The sequence below is a fragment of the Homo sapiens genome, chromosome 12 (assembly GCF_000001405.40).
Source record: "Homo sapiens chromosome 12, GRCh38.p14 Primary Assembly".
Classification (NCBI taxonomy): domain Eukaryota; kingdom Metazoa; phylum Chordata; class Mammalia; order Primates; family Hominidae; genus Homo; species Homo sapiens.
In genome coordinates this window covers 38,846,709-38,865,080 of record NC_000012.12, presented here as the reverse complement: position 1 = coordinate 38,865,080, position 18,372 = coordinate 38,846,709, and the positions used below count along the sequence as shown (strand labels likewise).

At 34.4% G+C, this 18,372-nt stretch overlaps 1 protein-coding gene across 7 annotated transcripts in view; it reads left to right on the top strand.

Annotated features, from left to right (window-relative positions):
- The window catches only part of CPNE8 (copine 8), a 254,633-nt gene that overhangs the window by 41,755 nt on the left and 194,506 nt on the right, over window positions 1-18,372 (top strand). For all 7 annotated transcript variants that reach the window (XR_245896.5, XR_007063052.1, XM_017018852.2 and 4 more), the window contains exon 4: window positions 16,419-16,522. Coding sequence is in view for 4 of the 7 variants with exons in the window: in NM_153634.3 (NP_705898.1) it covers window positions 16,419-16,522 (104 nt within the window). In the remaining 3 variants the exon portion in view is untranslated. The remainder of the gene's footprint in view (window positions 1-16,418; window positions 16,523-18,372) is intronic.

The following is an 18,372-nucleotide window of genomic DNA, read 5'->3' as shown; positions in this document are numbered from 1 at the left end:
GGTTCAGAACCCTTAGGTAGGCTTAATGACCATTTGGCTATTCTCTTTTAAGAAGTGTTGTCTATTTTCTTACTAATTTTTAGGAGTTATATCTTCAGGACAGGAATTCCTTGTTGCTTGCGTATCTTGCAAATATCTTTTTCCTTTATATAGTGTGGCATTCTACTCTTTGAATAGTGTATTTTGATGAACAAAAGTTCATAATTTTAATTTAATCTTAGATAGCGATATGATCCTTTATAATCATAACATATCCTTTATGATCTGTGCTTTTGTTCTCTTTAAGAAAATCTTCTTCTCTGAAGGCCATGATGATATTTCCTAGTGTTATCTTTTAGAAGTTTTATTGTGTTACCTTTCATGTTTAGACCTACAGTTCCTCTGGGATTAATTTTTGTATATGGTTTGAGATGAAATTTACTTTGATGCCACTGTAGTGTTGAATTGACTCAGGAACATTTGTTGATGGGATCGCCTTTCTCCGCTGCACAATTACATCACCTTTATCATAAATAACTGTAAATGTGAGGACTTTGTTGAGGATTCTATTGTGTAATACCATACTGTTTTAATAACTAGTGCTGATGGCATGAGCTTTGTAGTTTTTTTTTTCTTCTTCTTTAGGATTTTCTAGGGCAGGGGCTGGCAAACTTTTTTCTGTAAAGGGTCAAACGTAAATAGGAGCCAGGGCAAAGATTTTAGGCTAGGTGGGCCTTATAGTCTCTCTAGCTACTGTAGCATGAAAGCAGCCATCGATAGTAAATAAATGGATGATGATGGGACTATGCTTCAGTGAAACTTAACTTACAAAAACCAGCAGCAGGCCAGATTTGGCCTATGGGCTATAGTTCTTGAACCCTATTTCTAGGATATTCTTAGCATTACACAGCTCAACAGAAATTTTAGAATCTGTCTGTCAATTTATACATACATTTATCCTTACTGTACTGACAGGGGCCTCCTGTATAGTGTTGAATAAAAGCGGTGACAGGAGGCATTCTTTTTTCTTTTTTTTTTTTTTTTGTGAGAGATGAAGTCTCGCTCTGTCGTCCAGGCTGGAGTGCAGTGGAGCAATCTCGGCTCACTGCAAGCTCCATCGCCCGGATTCACACCATTCTCCTGCCTCAGCCTCCTGAGTAGCTGGGACTACAGGCGCCCGCCACCATGCCAGGCTAATTTTTTTTGTATTTTTTAGTAGAGACGGGGTTTCACCGTGTTAGCCAGGATGGTCTCGATCTCCGACCTTGTGATCCGCCCGCCTCGGCCTCCCAAAGTGCTGGGACCACAGGCGTGAGCCACCGCACCCGGCCGACAGGAGGCGTTCTTGTTCTTGATCCCATGGGTAAAATTTCCATGTGTTTGCATTTATTCAGATAATTATATGATTTTTATTTTGTCATGAAGGTGAAATACATGCTTGATTTTCAGTGCTAAAACACGTATTTCCATAATGTTTCCAGCTGAATAATAATGTATTGTCTTTTAAATATATTGCTTACTAGGCTTTGCTACTATTTGTTAGAATTTTGCCTGTTATGAATTATATTGATCTATAAATTTACTTCTTTGTCATAAACTTGTAGCTTTTGTTGTTAAGATTACGCAAGCCTCATTACTTCTGTTTGAAAGCATTTCCGTTTTCTCTTTGAAGGAATATGAGTAAAATTGGTGTTATATTTTAGTTAAATGTCTGACAAAGTTTGCTGTTAAAGCATTCTGAGTCTGGACATTTCATTATAGGAGGTTTTAATATCAGATTCAGTATCTTCGTTACATACATGTCTACTTACAATTTCAATTTCTTCTGTTAGTTTTGTGTGCCATGATTTTTCAGGAATTTGTCCATTTAACCTAAATTTTCAATTTATTGGCATAACACTGCTTGTAATACGCACGTATGCCATGTGTACTTTCTGTAGGATCTATCATGATGTCCCTTTTTTACCTTCGTATATTGATAATTTGTGTTTCTTTTTTTGGTTCTTCTTGGCAAAGGTTTATCAGTTATTAGTCTTTTCAATAATCAATTTCTGCCTTTGATGGTTATCTCTAATTAAAAAACTGTCATTGGTTACTGCAACTAATTTTTTTTTCTCATTTTTGGGTTTAATTTGATCTTTTATTTCTTTTTTGAGTCACAGTCTCATTCTCTCATCCAGGCTTGAGTGCAGTTGCATGACCTTGGCTCACTGCAGCCTCCATCTCCTGGGTTCAAGTGATTCTCATTGGTCAGCCTCCCAAGAAGCTGGGACTTCAGGTGTGTGCCACCAGGCCTGACTCATTTTTGTATTTTTAGTAGAGCCAGGGTTTTGCCATGTTAGTCAGGCTGGTCTTGAACTCCTGACCTCAAGTGAACCACCTGCCTCGGCCTCCCAAAGTGCTGGGATTACAGGCGTGAGCCATTGCACCCAGCCTTTCTCTTCTAAGTTCTTGAGAATGACAGCTTAACAGGTATTGTCAGTCATTTTTCTAATATATGCATTTTAGGCTAAAAATTCTCCTTTGAGAGGCTTTAATTATATCCAAGTTTGTTATGTTATGCTTCTGTTACCTTCCAGATTCAAAGTTATTTTTTAAAATTTGAAGCTATGTCGGGCGTACAGAAAAGGTGCAAATATAGTATAAAGGATTTTTTCCCTTTAAACTGTTTGAAAACAAGTTGCTGACAAGATGCCCCACAACATCTGAATGCTTTATTTACATAAAAGACATGCTTCTCCATAATCATAATAACCAGAATCAGGGAATTAAACTCATATGTTTCCACCATCTAATCTTCAGGATTATATAAGAGAAATATATAATGATTATAATATATATAATAATATGTATAATGCTAACAAGCTAATTTGACCTACAGTTACACAGTCAGGATCTTGTTGACCACATGTGCTTATGGTGCATTTCATTATATTTTTTCTGTTCTTTGCATTTCTACAATTTGGCAAATTGAATCTGAAGGTTGAATAGAGATTTAGTTTCTTTAACAAATCTATTGGTGGTTGTAAAAACTTTCATTGGAAAGCAAATTATGTCTTGTTTTCACTCTTTTGTGATATTAGTACCCTTTGATGCTTAGTGCCTAGATCATTGGAGATTTTCATGTATTAGTTGGAATAATGTTATACTATACCAACATTAGCAGATTATATTGCCATTCATGCTCTATTTTCTCTCAGCCATAATTTAGTCTTAATTCTGTAAGTAATGCTCACCACTACTCTATATGTCAATATTTCTCTAGTAATTTTGGTTTTATAAAAATCAATCTTTAGTAGATTCCTTAGAAAAGTTCATAGGAACAGTATTTCCCTAGTTCTTGCATGTTGATAACAATTTGTGTCCTTTATATTTGAAGAACATAAAATCTTTTGATCACATTTTCTTTCCTTGTGTATATTTAATATATTATTCCATTTTTATTCTGTCATAAAGCATTTCTGACAAAAAGTTTGATGAAAATATAATTTTATTTTAAGCCATGTACTCATTCTGCATGAATGGCTAGTGGATTAGTTTTCTTTTTTAAATAATATTAAGTACTTTCACTAGACTGTATCTTGGTATTAGTCATTCAAGATTGATGTTCTGTGTAGGTCATGTTTTCTTTTAATGTTTCAATTTGTTTTTGTGTTTGAAAGTTTAATAAGTCGTTTTTAATATTCGTTCTGATTTGCTTTGCTTTGATTTTTCTTTATTTTTTATTGTGATAAGAACACTTAATATATGACCTTTAAAAAATTTTAAGTGTACAGTACAGTATTATTAACTATTGGCAGTGAACTTACTCATCTTGCATAACTAAAACTTTATACCCATTGAACAACAATTTCCCGTTTTTCTCTCCCCCGCCCAGCCAGTGGCACCCACCATTCTGTGCTGTTTCTTTAAGTTTGACTATTTTAGATACCTCATGTAAGTGGAATTATACAGTATTTGTCCTTCTGTGACTTGTTTATTTCAGTTAATATAATGTCCTCCAGGTTTATTCATGTTGCTGCATATAGCAGGATTACCTTATTTTGTAAAGCTGAATAATATTCCATTGTATATTTCCACATTATTTTTTGTAATAAGAACACTTAACATAATATCTACACTTTTAGCAAATTTTTAAGTATGGAATGCTGTATAGTTAACCATAGGCACCATGCTGTACAGCAGATCTCTGGGACTTACTCATTTTTCGTAACTGAAACTTAATACCCTTTGACTAATTCTTCCCAGTTTTCCCTCCCTTCAACCCCGGACAGACATTCTTCTACTTTTTGCTTCTATGAATTTGAATATTTTAAATTCATCATATAAGTGATATTATGTAGTATCTGTCCTTCTGTGTCTGGTTTATTTCGCTTAGCATAATATCTTCCACATTCATCCATGTTGTTACAAATGGCATGATTTCCTTCCTTTTAAAGGCTGAATCATGTCCCATGGTATGTAGACTATTGTGAATAATGCTGTAATGAACATAGGAGTGTAGATATCTCTTCAAGATCGTTGAGTTTTTTTTTTTTTGATATATACTCAAAAGTGGGATTGCTGGACCACATGATAAATATTTTTAATTTTTGGAAATTTCATACTGTTCTCCATAGTGGCTGCACCATTTTACAATTCCACCAATAGGGCACAAATGCTCTAATTTCTCCACATCCTCAAAAACAATTCTTCCTTTTTTTTTTTTTTTTTTTTGATAATAGCCATTCTAACAGGCATGAGACAATATCTCAGGGAAGTGTGAATTTACAGTTCTCCAATGATTAGTGATGTTGAGCATCTTTTCATATACCTGTTGACCATTTGTGTATCTTCTTTGGAGAAATGTTTATTCAAGGTTTTTTTTTTGCCTATTTTTAAATTCAGTTATTTGGTTGTTTTGCTGCTGAGTTTCCGATTTCTTTGTATATATTGGTTGTTAATCCCTCATCAGATGGTACACAAATATTTTCTCCTTCTGTAGGTTGCCTTTTGACTCTGCTTTCCTTTGCCATGGAAAAGCTTTTTAATTTGAGTTAATCCCACCTAATTTTGCTTTTGCTGCTTGTGCTTTTGGTGTTATAATCAAGAATTCATGGCCCAAGACCAATGTCATGAAACTTTTACCCTATGTTTTCTTCTAAGAGTTTTACAGTTCCACATCTTACATGTATGTCTTTACTTCATTTTGAGTAGCCTTTTGTGTATGATGTAGGATAAGTGGCCAGTTTCATTTATTTGTATATGAATATTGAATTTTTTCTACACCATCTGTTGAAGAAATGATCTCTTCCCCATTGACACCCTTGTTGAAGATCAGTTAAACATCTCTGTGTGAATTTATTTATGAGCTTTCTCTTCTATTCTAATGATCCATGTGGCTGTTGTTATCAGTACTATGGTATTTTAATGACTATAGCTTTTTAGTATATTTTGAAATCAGGAAGTGTGATACCTGGAGCTTTGTTCTTTTTCAAGATTGCTTTAGCTATTCAGGATCTTTTGTGGTTCCATATGAATTTTAAGATTGTTTTGTCTATTTTTATAAAAAATGTCATTAGGATTTTGATAATTATTGCATTCAATCAAAGATCAAGATCACTTTGGGTAGTGTGATTATTTTGATTTTCCAATCCATTAACATGGAGGTTTTTCCATTTTTTTGTCTTTCTTATTTATTTCATTCATGCTTTGTGTTCAGTGTCTTTTACCTTCTTAGTTAAGTTTATTACCAAGTATTTTATTCTTTCTGATTCTGTTAGAAAGAAATTATCTCTTAAGTTTCTTTTTTGATGGTTCATTGTTGGTGTATAAAAAGCACAACTGATTTTTGTATATAGATTTCGTATCTGCAACTTATGAATTTGTTTATTATTTCTAACAGTTTTTGTGGAGTCTTTGGGATTTTTTTTTTTAACCTATAAGTTCATTTGCAAATGAAGATAATTTTACTTCCTCTGTTTTGATTTGGATACCTTTTATTTCTTTTTCATGTCTAATTGCTCTGGCTAGGATTTTCATACTATGTCGATTAGAAGTGGTGAGAATTGTCATCTTTGCCTTTTTCCTGATTTTAGAGGAAAAGCTTTCAGTTTTTCACCAACGAGTATGATGTTGCCGTAGGCTTTACGTATATGGTTTTGACATGTTCAGGTAAAGTATTTACTAAGTATTTTCATCAAGAAAGGTTGTAGAATTTTGTCCAGTGCTTTTTCTGTGTCTATTGAGATGGTCATGGTATTTTATCTTTTAATCTGTTTTATTGTGTATTGCACTAATTGATTTGCTTTTTTTCAATCATCCTTGTATCACAGGAAAAAAAATCTCATTTGCTCATAGTGTAACTGAGGTGGAAGTTGGGACTCAACTCCAGAGGTGAGGCTTAGACACTAGACCAAATTGAGGACTAGCAAAAACAGGGCTGGTGTGGAAGCAGCTTTTCATAAGATGTCTACCAATGTGCCATGTCAGTTTACCATTGCTGTGACAATACCTGGAATTAATTGCCCCTTTCCATGACAACAACCTAATGACCTAGAAATTACCACTCTTTTCCTATAAATTTCTGCATACACTGCTCCTTAATTTGCATGTAGTTAAAAGTGAGTATAAATATGACTGCAGAAGCACCTTTGAGCTGCTACTTTGGCACATTGCCTATGGTGTAGCCCTGCTTGCAAAGAGCAGTAACTCTGCTGTTGCTGTAGACTGACACTTTAATAAAAGTTGTTGTTTAACACCACCAGCTTGCCCTTGCATTCTTTTCTGGGTGAAGCTAAGAACCCTCCCAGGATAAGCCCCAATTTTGGGGCTCGACGGAACTGCATCATAACCATCTATGTTAGGTAATTGGCTTTATATGGAGGAAAAACAAACTTCCTGTCTTTAGGACAAAAGGTAGTTTTGCAACTTGGAACAATGTCTCTACCACAATTAGGCTCCTACTTTCCCACAGAAACTGGGAGACAGAGGTGCAAGTTATTTCGATGTTTACATTATATAAAGATGGCTCCTATGTTCTTGAGAAAGGCATTCCTGGGTTATAAAGCTGACCAGAGTTTTCAAAAGGATTTATATACATTTCAGAGAGAGAATGTACTTGTAATTACATGTTTTCCAAAGTAAATGCTCTGAATAAAAGGAGGGAGGGAAATATTTTCTCTTATTATCAACAGGGAGAATTAAGCCTCTTATTTATTTATTTTTAGACAGAGTCTTGCTCTTGTCTCCCAGGCTGGAGTGCAATGGCACGATGTCAGCTCACTGCAACCTCCGCCTCCTGGGTTCAAGCAATTCTCCTGCCTCAGCCTCCCGAGTAGCTGAGATTACAGGTGCCTGCCACCATGCCCGGCTATTTTTTTTGGGGGTTCGCCATGTTGGCCAGGCTGGTCTTGAACTCCTGACCTCGTGATCCACCCACCCTGGCCTCTTAAAGTGCTGGGATTACAGGCGTGAGCCACTACCTCTAGCCTAACCCTCTTATTTTTAATTTTTGGTTTGTATTTGTCCTTACATAAGAAATAATACAGAGAAATCCTATGTCCTGTTTGCTCACTTTCCCCAAGTGGTAATATCTTAAAAACTCTAGTACATTATCACAACCAGAATATCGACATTGATAAAGTAAAGAAATAACTATAATGTAGTTCAGTGTTTTTAGTTGTACTTTGCAAGAAAAATAGAGAAACGACTCCATCTTTCTGGAAGTGAAAGTCCCATCCTTACAGTTTCTCTGATAGCCAATCAATAAACAAGGACAGATCTATGTTTTATTTATAGTCAATATATTCATGTACTGCCAATTATATTACAAAATAAAATATGAATTATTAGAGTTGTAGTTATGATTTTAATTAGGTGTGTCTCTTGTGTAAAGGCTACATTGGCATGAATAATACTGATATATTTTGTTGACATTTATGTATGTTAAATCAGTGTGTGATAGGGTTTTGCTATATGAATCAGTAACATTTGAAGGAAAAGTTTGAAGGTTGTCAGTATAGGTTGCTAGCCCTTTATTTTGAAAATTAAGGAAAAAGACAACAAGATTAAGGTAAACATCTCTATTATCATAATTTATTTCAAAAAAAGAGTATTTTTTATCAAAATATATATAGGCTGTATATTGAAAAAAAAAACCCTGATACTCATAGTATAGTGCAGTTAGAAACCTCATGCAGTCACAATTTTCCTTAAATGTGAAGCATCTAAAGTTTTAAATAAAGATAAATCACAACATAAGGTTTTGTGATAGTACATGTATACTGAAAAACCACAGCCTAAAATTTTATTCTATGGTTAATCATTGATATAGTAGCTGTCTTCTCCCAAGTTTTAAATGTGGTGATCAGTTTCTTGCAGTACAACATGAAGTACAGAACAATGTCCAGCCTATTTGTATTTTTATTTTATGGGCATTATAAACAATTCAATTTTACATAGGCATTTTGAAAAATTTGTAAGCACTACTGTCAAATTTATTTTATCGATTCAGAATATTATAGGAAAACTAAGAAAAATCTAAGATTCTGCCCTCTAGGCAACCCATGCCATTAGTTGATGACACCAGGTGTCTAGCTAGTGAGGATTATAGACAAGGATGATCCTTTTAATGTGCTGTTGAATTTGTTCTACTTGTATTTTGTTGAGGATTTTTACATCCATATTCACCAAGGATATTGGTCTATAATTTTCTTTTCCAGTTGTGCCCTTTTTGGCTTTGGTATGATGATAATGCTGGCTTCATAAAATGAGTCTGAAAGGTGTTTCTTTTTCTTAATATTTTGGGAAGAATTTAAGGAAGATTGATATTGCTTCTTGTTTAAATGTTCGGTAGCATTCATCAGAGAAGCCGTCAAGTCCCAGGTTTTTCTTTTTGATTACTGCTTTTGAGGTTGTTGATTACTGCTTCAATCTCTTATTCATTATTGGTCTGTTCAAGTTTCCTATCTTTTCATGGTTCAGCCTTAGTATGTTATATATTTCTAAGAATTTATCCATTTCTTCTGGGTTATTCAATTTGTTGGCTAAAGTTGTTCATAATAGTCCCTTATGATCATTTTTATTCCTGTACCATGACTTGTAATGTTTTCTCTTTCATTTATTATTTTATTTGTGATTTCTCTCTTTTTAAAATTAGTTTAGGTAAAGGCTTGTCCATTGTTTTATTTGTTCTTTGGTTCCTTTCTGTCTCTTTCTTTCAGTTGTTTCATTGAATTTTAGAGGTTTTGTTTTAACTTTTAATTGACAATAATTGCATATTATATATTTATGGGATACAATGTGATATTTTATATGTTTACATTATGGGAATAATTAAATCAGGTTGTTTAAGAAATCCAGTACCTCACCTACTTATTATTATTTTTGTGGTGAAAACATTTAAAATTTTGTCTTAGCAATTTTGAAATATACAGTGCATTATTATTATAGTCACTTTTTTCTACAGTAGATCATTAAAACTTATTCCTCCTGTCTAACTGAAATTTTGTACACTTTGATCAACATCTCTCCTTTCCACATTCTGTGTTGTGCATGGATTTATTTCTGGACTCTCAGTCCTGTTCCACTGGTCATTATATGTTGTTATGACAGTAACATGCTGTGTTGGTAACTGTAGCATTGTGATCGATTTTGAAGTCAGGTAGTGTGATGCCTTCAGCTTTGTTCTTTTTTGTCAAGGTTACTTTGGCTATATGGGATCTTTTGTGGTTCTATATAAAACTTAGGATTGTATTTTCTATTTCTGTGAAAAATGACTTGGAATTTTGATAGAGATTACATCATTTATGTAATATGGCCATTTTAGCTATATTCAATTTTCAGTCCATGAACATAGAATAGTTTTCCATTTATTTGTGTCATAATTATTTCTTTCATCAGTGTTTTTTTTTATTATATAGATTTTCCACCTTTTTGGTTAAATTTACTCCTTAGTATTTTGTGTTTTTTCATGTTATTGTGAATGGGATTTTCTTAATTTCTTTTTCAGATAATTTGTTGTTAGTGTAAAGAAATACTACTGATTTTTCTGTGTTGATTTTGTATCCTGTAACTTTACTGACTTTATCAGTTGAAATAGTTTATTGGTGGAGTCTAGAACTTTCTCTATATAAGATCATGTCATTGGCAAATAGAAACAGTTTCACTTCTTTCTTTCCAATTTGCATGCCTTTTATTTCTTTTTCTTGTCTAACTGCTCTGGCTAGAACTTGTAGTCCTATGTTAAGTAGAAGTGTGAGAGTGGGCATCCTTGTCTTGTTCCTGAATTGGAAGAAAAGCTTTCAGTATGATGTTAGCTGTGGGCTTTTCATATATGTCTTTTATTGTATAGAGGTATATTCCTTTAAAACTTAACTTGTTTTGAATTTTTATCTGGAAACTTTCTTTAATGTTGTTAAAAGCCTTTTTGGCTCCATTGAGTTGATCATATAGTTTTCATAATTCGTTCTGTTAACGTACTGTATCATCTTTATGGAGTTGTGTATGTTGAACCATCCTTGCATCCCAGGGATAAATCCCACCTACGATAAATTATTCTTTTAATGTGCTGTTGAATTCAGGCTGATAGTATTTTGTTCAAGATTTTTGCACCTGTGATCATCAAAGATAGCTGCCTTTAGTTTTCTTTTCTTATAATGTTTTTGTCTGGCTTTGGTATCAGGGTGTGTTAGTCAGGGTTCTCTAGAGGGACAGAACTGATAGGATAGACGTATAATAAAGTGAGTTTCGTATTATTGGATTGTGAAAAAAATGCCTCGGATAATGAGTTATATAACAGAGCTATATGTCTTCCTCTTATAAGAAGAGGGCTGTGGAGTCTCTGTTGAGGCCAGTGTTTTATTTCCAAGAGGAAGAGTATGAGAATGTAAACCTTCTTTGTGTGTGTAGCTGTGTGTGTTTGTATGTTTGGTATCCTTCATGCAAGTTGGATATTTATAGTCCTAAATTGCGGTTTTAGATTAAATTTATCTTAATATTATGTCAGAATATTCTGCCTACCGTACTCCCGTACTCATCTAATTTACTCTTGTGTAATCTCTGGAAAGTGTGGCTGTATATCATGGCTACTAAGATTTAATTATAACATAATAATTGAATTAAAGATGTGCAGTTGTTCAGATGACCTTTTTTCTTCATCACTTTCACTTGACAAGTGAATGTGAGACTGGGTGGTTGTGCTGGGCCTTCATAATATATTAAAACTTTCTGAACATTTTTATCAAAACATAGTTCATCTGCTTGGTGCCATAAATAGATGAAGTTACTGAGTGTTCTTTCCAGTACTGCTTCTCTGAAGTAGTTTAATAATTAGTTGATTTAGAAATGAGGAGTATTTCTATTCTATCATTTTCTACAAGATTTGTTCCTAAATTGGAAAAGTAGCTATTTTTCCAATTAGCTCAAGCATAAAACAAAGGAAAACTTTGAAAGACTTGATTGTGAATTGTTTTTCACTTTTTGCTTGGAATTTTAAAAGGAACAGTGTTTTCTGGTTTTAACAAATTTAAGTTTACACACTTTTTTTTTCAAATAACTGAAAATTTTCATACTTGGTGAATAAAAGAATAGTTTCCTAATTATAAGTTTATGAAAACTTAATACTGTATCATTATGTAAAAGTGCTTGGCTTCCGCATATTTGTACATGTACATTGTGCCAGAGGTTATTGTAATTAGGTTCATAGGTACTTTTGATAATCTAGTATTATTGATATTCAGAACGAGACTTTTTAGGACACAAGTTAAAATTCTTTAAAATGTAGCTGTTTCTGGGTGTATAACATCAACAAATATTATTAATAATTGTCTTTCCTCAAAATTTTACACCCCTTTGATAGGTATAGAATGATATGCACTGCACATTTTCCAAAGAATTAGCAATTATTTATTTAGTAGCATAAGACATTAGCTAAGATGTAAATTTTACTTCAAGTCAAAAAGATTAATCACTTGGTTGATAGCTAATACATTCCAGCATCCAGGAAATAACCAGTGTATTTCCCATAAGCTGAACTAGTCATAACATATCTGTAGATTTCTTATTATTTCCAGTTTTCACTTTTTATAATAGAGTGAACTAAAAACAGGAAAACTGCCTGAAAGTTTTTTGTTTCTGATTTTAAAAGTAAATTCTACTCATTGCAAGAAATTGGGAAAACCCAGAAATGCATAATACAGTTTTAAAAAATTAGATGATAATCATTACATTCTGGTACACTGTATTCTATTTTTTTCCATATATATATATATGCATATATATGCTTATGTTTTAATCAAATTGGTATTATGCTATACATATACCAAAATTGGTATTATACTATATATTACCCTTGATATATTTTCTGAACCTTGATATTTATATCTCAGATCTCCCTTATTTAACCATTTGTTCAATTTTATTCAGGTGTAAATCAAACACATGTCTGTGTCCTGTTCCTTCACGAAGCTTACTGTCTAGTGGGGGAAACATAAACATTTTATTTTTATTTTTATTTTTTGAGATGGAGTTTCACTCTTGTTGCCCAGGCTGAAATGCAATGGCGCGATCTTGGCTCACCGCAACCTCCGCCTCCTAGGTTCAAGTGATTCTCCTGCCTCAGCCTCCTGAGTAACTGGGATTACAGGCATGCGCCACCACGCCTGGCTAATTTTTTTTTTTTTTTTTTTTTTTTGAGACAGAGCTCACTCTGTTGCCCAGGCTGGGAGTGCAGTGGCGCGATCTTGGCTCACTGCAAGCTCCACTTCCCAGGTTCATGCCATTCTCCTGCCTCAGCCTCCCGAGTAGCTGGGGCTACAGGCGCCTGCCACCACGCCTGGCTAATTTTTTGTATTTTTAGTAGAGACGGGGTTTCTCCATGTTGGTCAGGCTGGTCTTGAACCCCTAACCTCAGGTGATCTGCCCACCTTGGCCTCCCAAAGTGCTGGAATTACAGGTGTGAGCCACCGCGCCCAGCCTACATAAACATTTAAATGTATAGTAGCAAAATATAAGTTTTATTAAGGGGGAAGACAGGTGCTATGAGAGAGACTAAGAATGGAGCACCTATTTCAGATTGATGTTTAGAGCTGACATGCTGACATTTAAGCAGAGGCTTAAAGGATGAGGAAAAAGTCAGCCATTCAAGGATGGGGTTAAGAACATTCTAGTAAGAGGAAATAGCAGGTGCAAAGGCCATGAGGTAAGAAAGGGTTTGGTGTGTAAAAGGGCCTACAAGAAGGCCAGGAGGCTGGAGCAAAGAGAAAGAAGGGATACTGCCTAAAATGAGGTTAGAGAGGAAAATAGGAGCCAGGACCTTTAGACCAAAGAAAAGAGATTTTATTATAAGTACTACAGGAAGCCATTAAAATTTTTTGGCTGGTGGAATGACATGGGCATGTTTACATTTTCAAAAGATTATTCTGGATGTCACATAGAAGATGAATTGGAAGGAGAATAAAAGAAGAAGAAGCAGAAATGTAAGTTAGGAGGCCCTTTGGGTAGACCATAAGAGGGAAGAAAAGCTTGAGTTAGGCTGATGATGGGAGCTATGGAGAGAAGTAAACAGCTGTGAGGCATGTTTTGGAGTTATAACTGATAACTTATGAGGCAGTGATGAATAGGAGTTGGCAGATTAAAAAGAAAGACTTGAGATTGATGACTTTCATTTATGGTCTGATTAATCAAGTGGATAGTGGTAACATTTATTGACAAGAAGTAAACTTGGTAAGCACCAGTATTAGGGTGATGTTTGTGATATAAAATAATTATTTTATGTTTGGATGATACTTTTGAGGGATCTATAAGACAACCACTTGTATAAGTTAAAAAAGCAGTTGTATGCATGAATACCCAGAAGTGAGTCTCAGAGCTGATGACATGCCTTTGGAAGTTATCATGTAGATGGGATTTAAAACCAAATAAATTATCCTGGTCTGTTTTGTGTTGCTGTAACAGAATACCTGAGACCACGTAATTTAAAAAGAAGAGAAATTTATTTTCTCACAGTTCTGAAGTCTGGGAAGCCCAAGATCAAGGCGCTGGCATCTGGTGAGGGCATTCTTGCTGTATCACATGGTGGAAGACGGAAGGGCAAATGATGGCCAAATGCTGTATGAAGCCTCTTTCATAAGGGCCTTCCTGCCATTCATGAGAAAGGTGCCCTCATGGCCTAATCACTTCTTAAATGCTCTATATCTTAATACTGTCACATTGGTAACACCTGAATTTTGGAAGGGATACATTCAAACTATAGCAGGAACAGATGAAATAACCTAATAAAAAGTGATTGTATAGAGAACAAGAGTGCCTTGAACTGAGCTCTGCCAATGAGATGTTGAATGCTTGAGAATCTGAGAAGAGGAGAAACACAGAGGAATGTGGTGTCAAAAGTCAGGAAAGACGGCTTCTAAAAAGAATGAGTGGACAGCTGTGTCACATGCTGCTGAGAGATCTGGCAAGATGAGGGCCAGAAGTGACCACTGGATTTAGCAATATGAAGGTCACTGGTGATATCATCAAAAACAATTTCAGGGCTGTGTGGTAGAAGACATATTGTAATGGATATAGTCATAATATATAGATGATTTGCTAAAACCAGGATTTTAATGGCTACAAATTAATCTTTACTAGAGATAGCAGAGTATACTCAGTCACTCCTATTGCTGAGGAGCCAGCATTCTATGAGAAATAGGCTTGTGTGTGTTTTAAGGGCTAATAGGCTCTGGGGAGTTGCTGGCTGCACCTCAATGGGGCTTACTGTGGGAAATTTCACTTCATTTTAAAAAATTCTCTCTGAGTGTGAGTTTGGGTTAAAAATCCAGATACTTGGGAATATGGGTACTGGCTGAGCCTCTCTTTGAGAGTGTTGTGCATTTGCTGCTTTAGTGCTCTCTGCTCTGGTTTGGAAACAGTTTTTCCTCCCAGCAGTAGGAACAGTGGGAGGGTGGAGGGTCCCTCTGGTTTATACTTGAACTTACTGACCTCTGCACAGTTCTCTTGAAGTACGCGAGCACTGCCAGCCCCTGGTTATTTGGGTATATACTCTTATTCCCACTCCCTTCAGATTAGAAAATTAAAATGGATAGGCTCATTGTTGTATCTTCTCCAGGGCCTATGTTTTACACTTAAATAGAGGAGAGTCCTAGAAAGAATGCAGATTTTGTAGCCAAAGTGACTTAGGTTGAAACTCTGCTTTAATTTTCTTATCTCTAAAATGGGGCTAGTTCTACCATGCAGAATTATAGTAAATATTGAAAGTAATGTGTGAAAAGTGCTTGGAACAAGGTAAATACTCAATAACTGGTGGCTGTAATTGATATTATTGTTTAAAGTAAATTCTCAATATTATTGAAATGTTGAATTAGTGACGTGGGTTATAATTTGTCTGTATGATATTGGTCTGTGATATAAAACATTGTCCAATGGCATAGGCCTCTGAAAATTTGTTCTTTTTGGGAGTGATCCATTGGAAGTAGCCTTAGTAAATCCTATGTCATCAATATTTTGTACTACAGTTTTATTATTACAATTTAAGAAAGCTTCACATTTTAATGGATTATCATAGTTCTTCTCTTTTCCTATTAAAAAGATAATATTTCATTGAACTTTAATAAAAGTTGGTTTGTGATAAGACAGCATGCTTCATTGCCTAATATTGCTCAGAACTGAAGTTAAAATTCTCTCATTAGAATTCCATGGGAGTTGGAAGGGAAGAATGTAAGCCAAGGATAGAAAAGAGATGTAAATTTTATATTTGTGCTCTATCTTTGGGAGAAGTGCCAAATGGCCTTCTTTCACATTGAAAGGAGGGAGGACTAGAAAGTGGAATATTTTTTCCTGTTTTCCACTTTTCTAAGCTAAAGTGCAGCATATTGCTTTAAAAGATGCAAGAAGTATAGGTCCCATTTTAGCTATCTAGATATGGTAAGAATTAAAACATGATTAATCAGAAACAACTGATTGTTGTGACATATGTGTGTAGGAGATTTTCAGAGCATTCTCCCCAAAACATGGCTAATAAACGGCATTGTATATGGGACTGTTATGTATAAAAAGAGGAGGAAGGTTATGAATACTATGATCTCTTCAATTATAAGAATATGTAGTGTCTGGCCTTCTTATATACAAGGTTAGGAAAATAATTTATAATACATTTAAATTTTAGGTAGAAATAACTTCTTTTCATTAAAAGAGGATTTAACTTTCAAGTAGGGAGAGGAGAAGGAGAAGCATTATGGTTTGTCATATGAATTTTGGGGAGAAGCTGATTTTTGAATGAACTCAGGGCTTATTTTATGATTTCCCTGAATAAATAAGAGAGGTGATTTTATCGCTAAAAAATTTCTATTATTTGGATATTTATTGCTTGTTTTTTAAAAGAACTGTGTGATATTAAGTACTATACTTGTAATAAGTAGCCGTACAAGGTTTAATTTTAAATTCTCTCTCTCTTTCCACAGTTTGGAAGAACTGAAGTAATTGATAATACTTTAAATCCTGATTTTGTAAGAAAGTTTATTCTGGACTACTTTTTTGAAGAAAGAGAGAATCTTCGTTTTGACTTGTAAGTTCTACTAAAACTTGCGTTTAGAAAAATTTGATTTTAAAGACAATATTACTAATGTAAGGCAGGGTCCTATGGTTGCACTGAGTTCTAGATTATATTGGCAGGAAACCAGATTAATTCTGTTCAGAGTGTGGCCCAAGCAAGCCCCCTGCTTTGCATTTTGTAGGTCTGAATACATGTTGAATGAATAGGTGAGCAGTTTAGCCATGCAGGACGGTGTATATGGACATTCTTCCCAACTGCCCTGTGCTTCAGTGGATTTCCTACAAGTTCTATGTATACTCCAAAGTTATCACATCCACTCCCATGGCTGATGTCTCTCAGATCTTAAGTTTGGCTCAGCAGCTTCTTAGCATAGCACCTGGATCTCTGCCTAACTATGGCTTCCATTCATCCCTTGGTAGCCTTGTATTTTTCCAAGGACCAGGATAATCGAGTCAGCATTTTAAATATGTTAAGTATTCTTGTTACTTTGATACTAAGTCTGGCATATTAAAACATTATTGTCAAATCCAAGTTCCTGTCCACAGAGAACCTAGAGTCAGCCTGTTTATATTATTATAGAGTTTTTTTTCCACAGAAGTGAACTGTAGTGATTGTTGAAGTATCTGGATATGGTTAAAAGGAAATCTGTTGTGGGCAGGTGGGTAAAATATGCTTAAAATATGAAAATAATTAAAGGAAATTCATGAACATTAAAAGATAAATGTCTTATTTTAAATAGCTGAAAATTCTGATGTACCATACTTTTACAATTTATAAATACTTTTTGATAACAAAAGCTATCAACATCTTATTTGAAAAAGTCATAATTTGCTTCATAATGTAAAAAATAACAGCTCTTTACTGTTACTAGTCTTTCTCATTTTCCTCTAAAATATGCATGGTAAAATAACCTGCAGTGCTTGTGTTTAAAAAAGATCTTATACTAGCTTCTTTCTTCAGGAATGTTGAGTATTCGTCATATTTATCAAACAAAATTTATTACATCCACATTTGGTTTTTTATTTTTTAGAAACTCCTTTGCAAATAGTAAAAATGAGGCTCATTGGAAGAGAAACTGAAATGAAATGTAGTAACTTCCTGATTATGTTTATTTTAGAGGCTGCACATAGCGTTGCCACTAAAAAACAGATATAAGTCATGTAGTATGTGGTTGAATTCTCCCATTATTCTGGGCCTTGGTAGCAATTGCTTTTTAAGAATTTTCTTTTACACCAGCATGGGACTCTTAATTTTTCCTGCTTAATCCCAGACTTAACTTTATGTTAAAACCAGCCTCTATTTCATGATTCTTTGTTCCCCCCTTTGTTTTTTCCTTTCTTTTTCTTCCTTTCTCATTCATCTGCATTGTTTTCACTGTTGAAAGTAATAAATATTTATTGCAAACTTTAAGTGATATAGACATTTAAAATGAAAGCTTCCTTTTATCCTAATACAAAAAAGCATTGCCTCCCCTCCCAAACCTGCAAATGACTCAATGTATATGCTGGGATTTTTTTTTTCTTTAAGCATACACATATGCATACAGGAATTGCAATAAATATATTTTCCTTTACCTTGTATTTTGCAGATATCCTTTTATGCCACAAAATATGCATATACCACATTCATTTTAAAGGTTATATAATTTCCATTGTTCAAAATAACTGTAATTTATTTAACCAAACACTTACTGATGGGCATTTGGCTGGTTCCATTTTTCCTACTACATATAATCCTGCAGTGAGTTTCCTTGGATGCAAATCTTTTTGTAGTATATATTTATGTATACTTTACGTTTTCAGAGGACAAATGACTTACAGCCAAATTTTAGGATTATAGGATGCAGACAGGAGTACCCACTG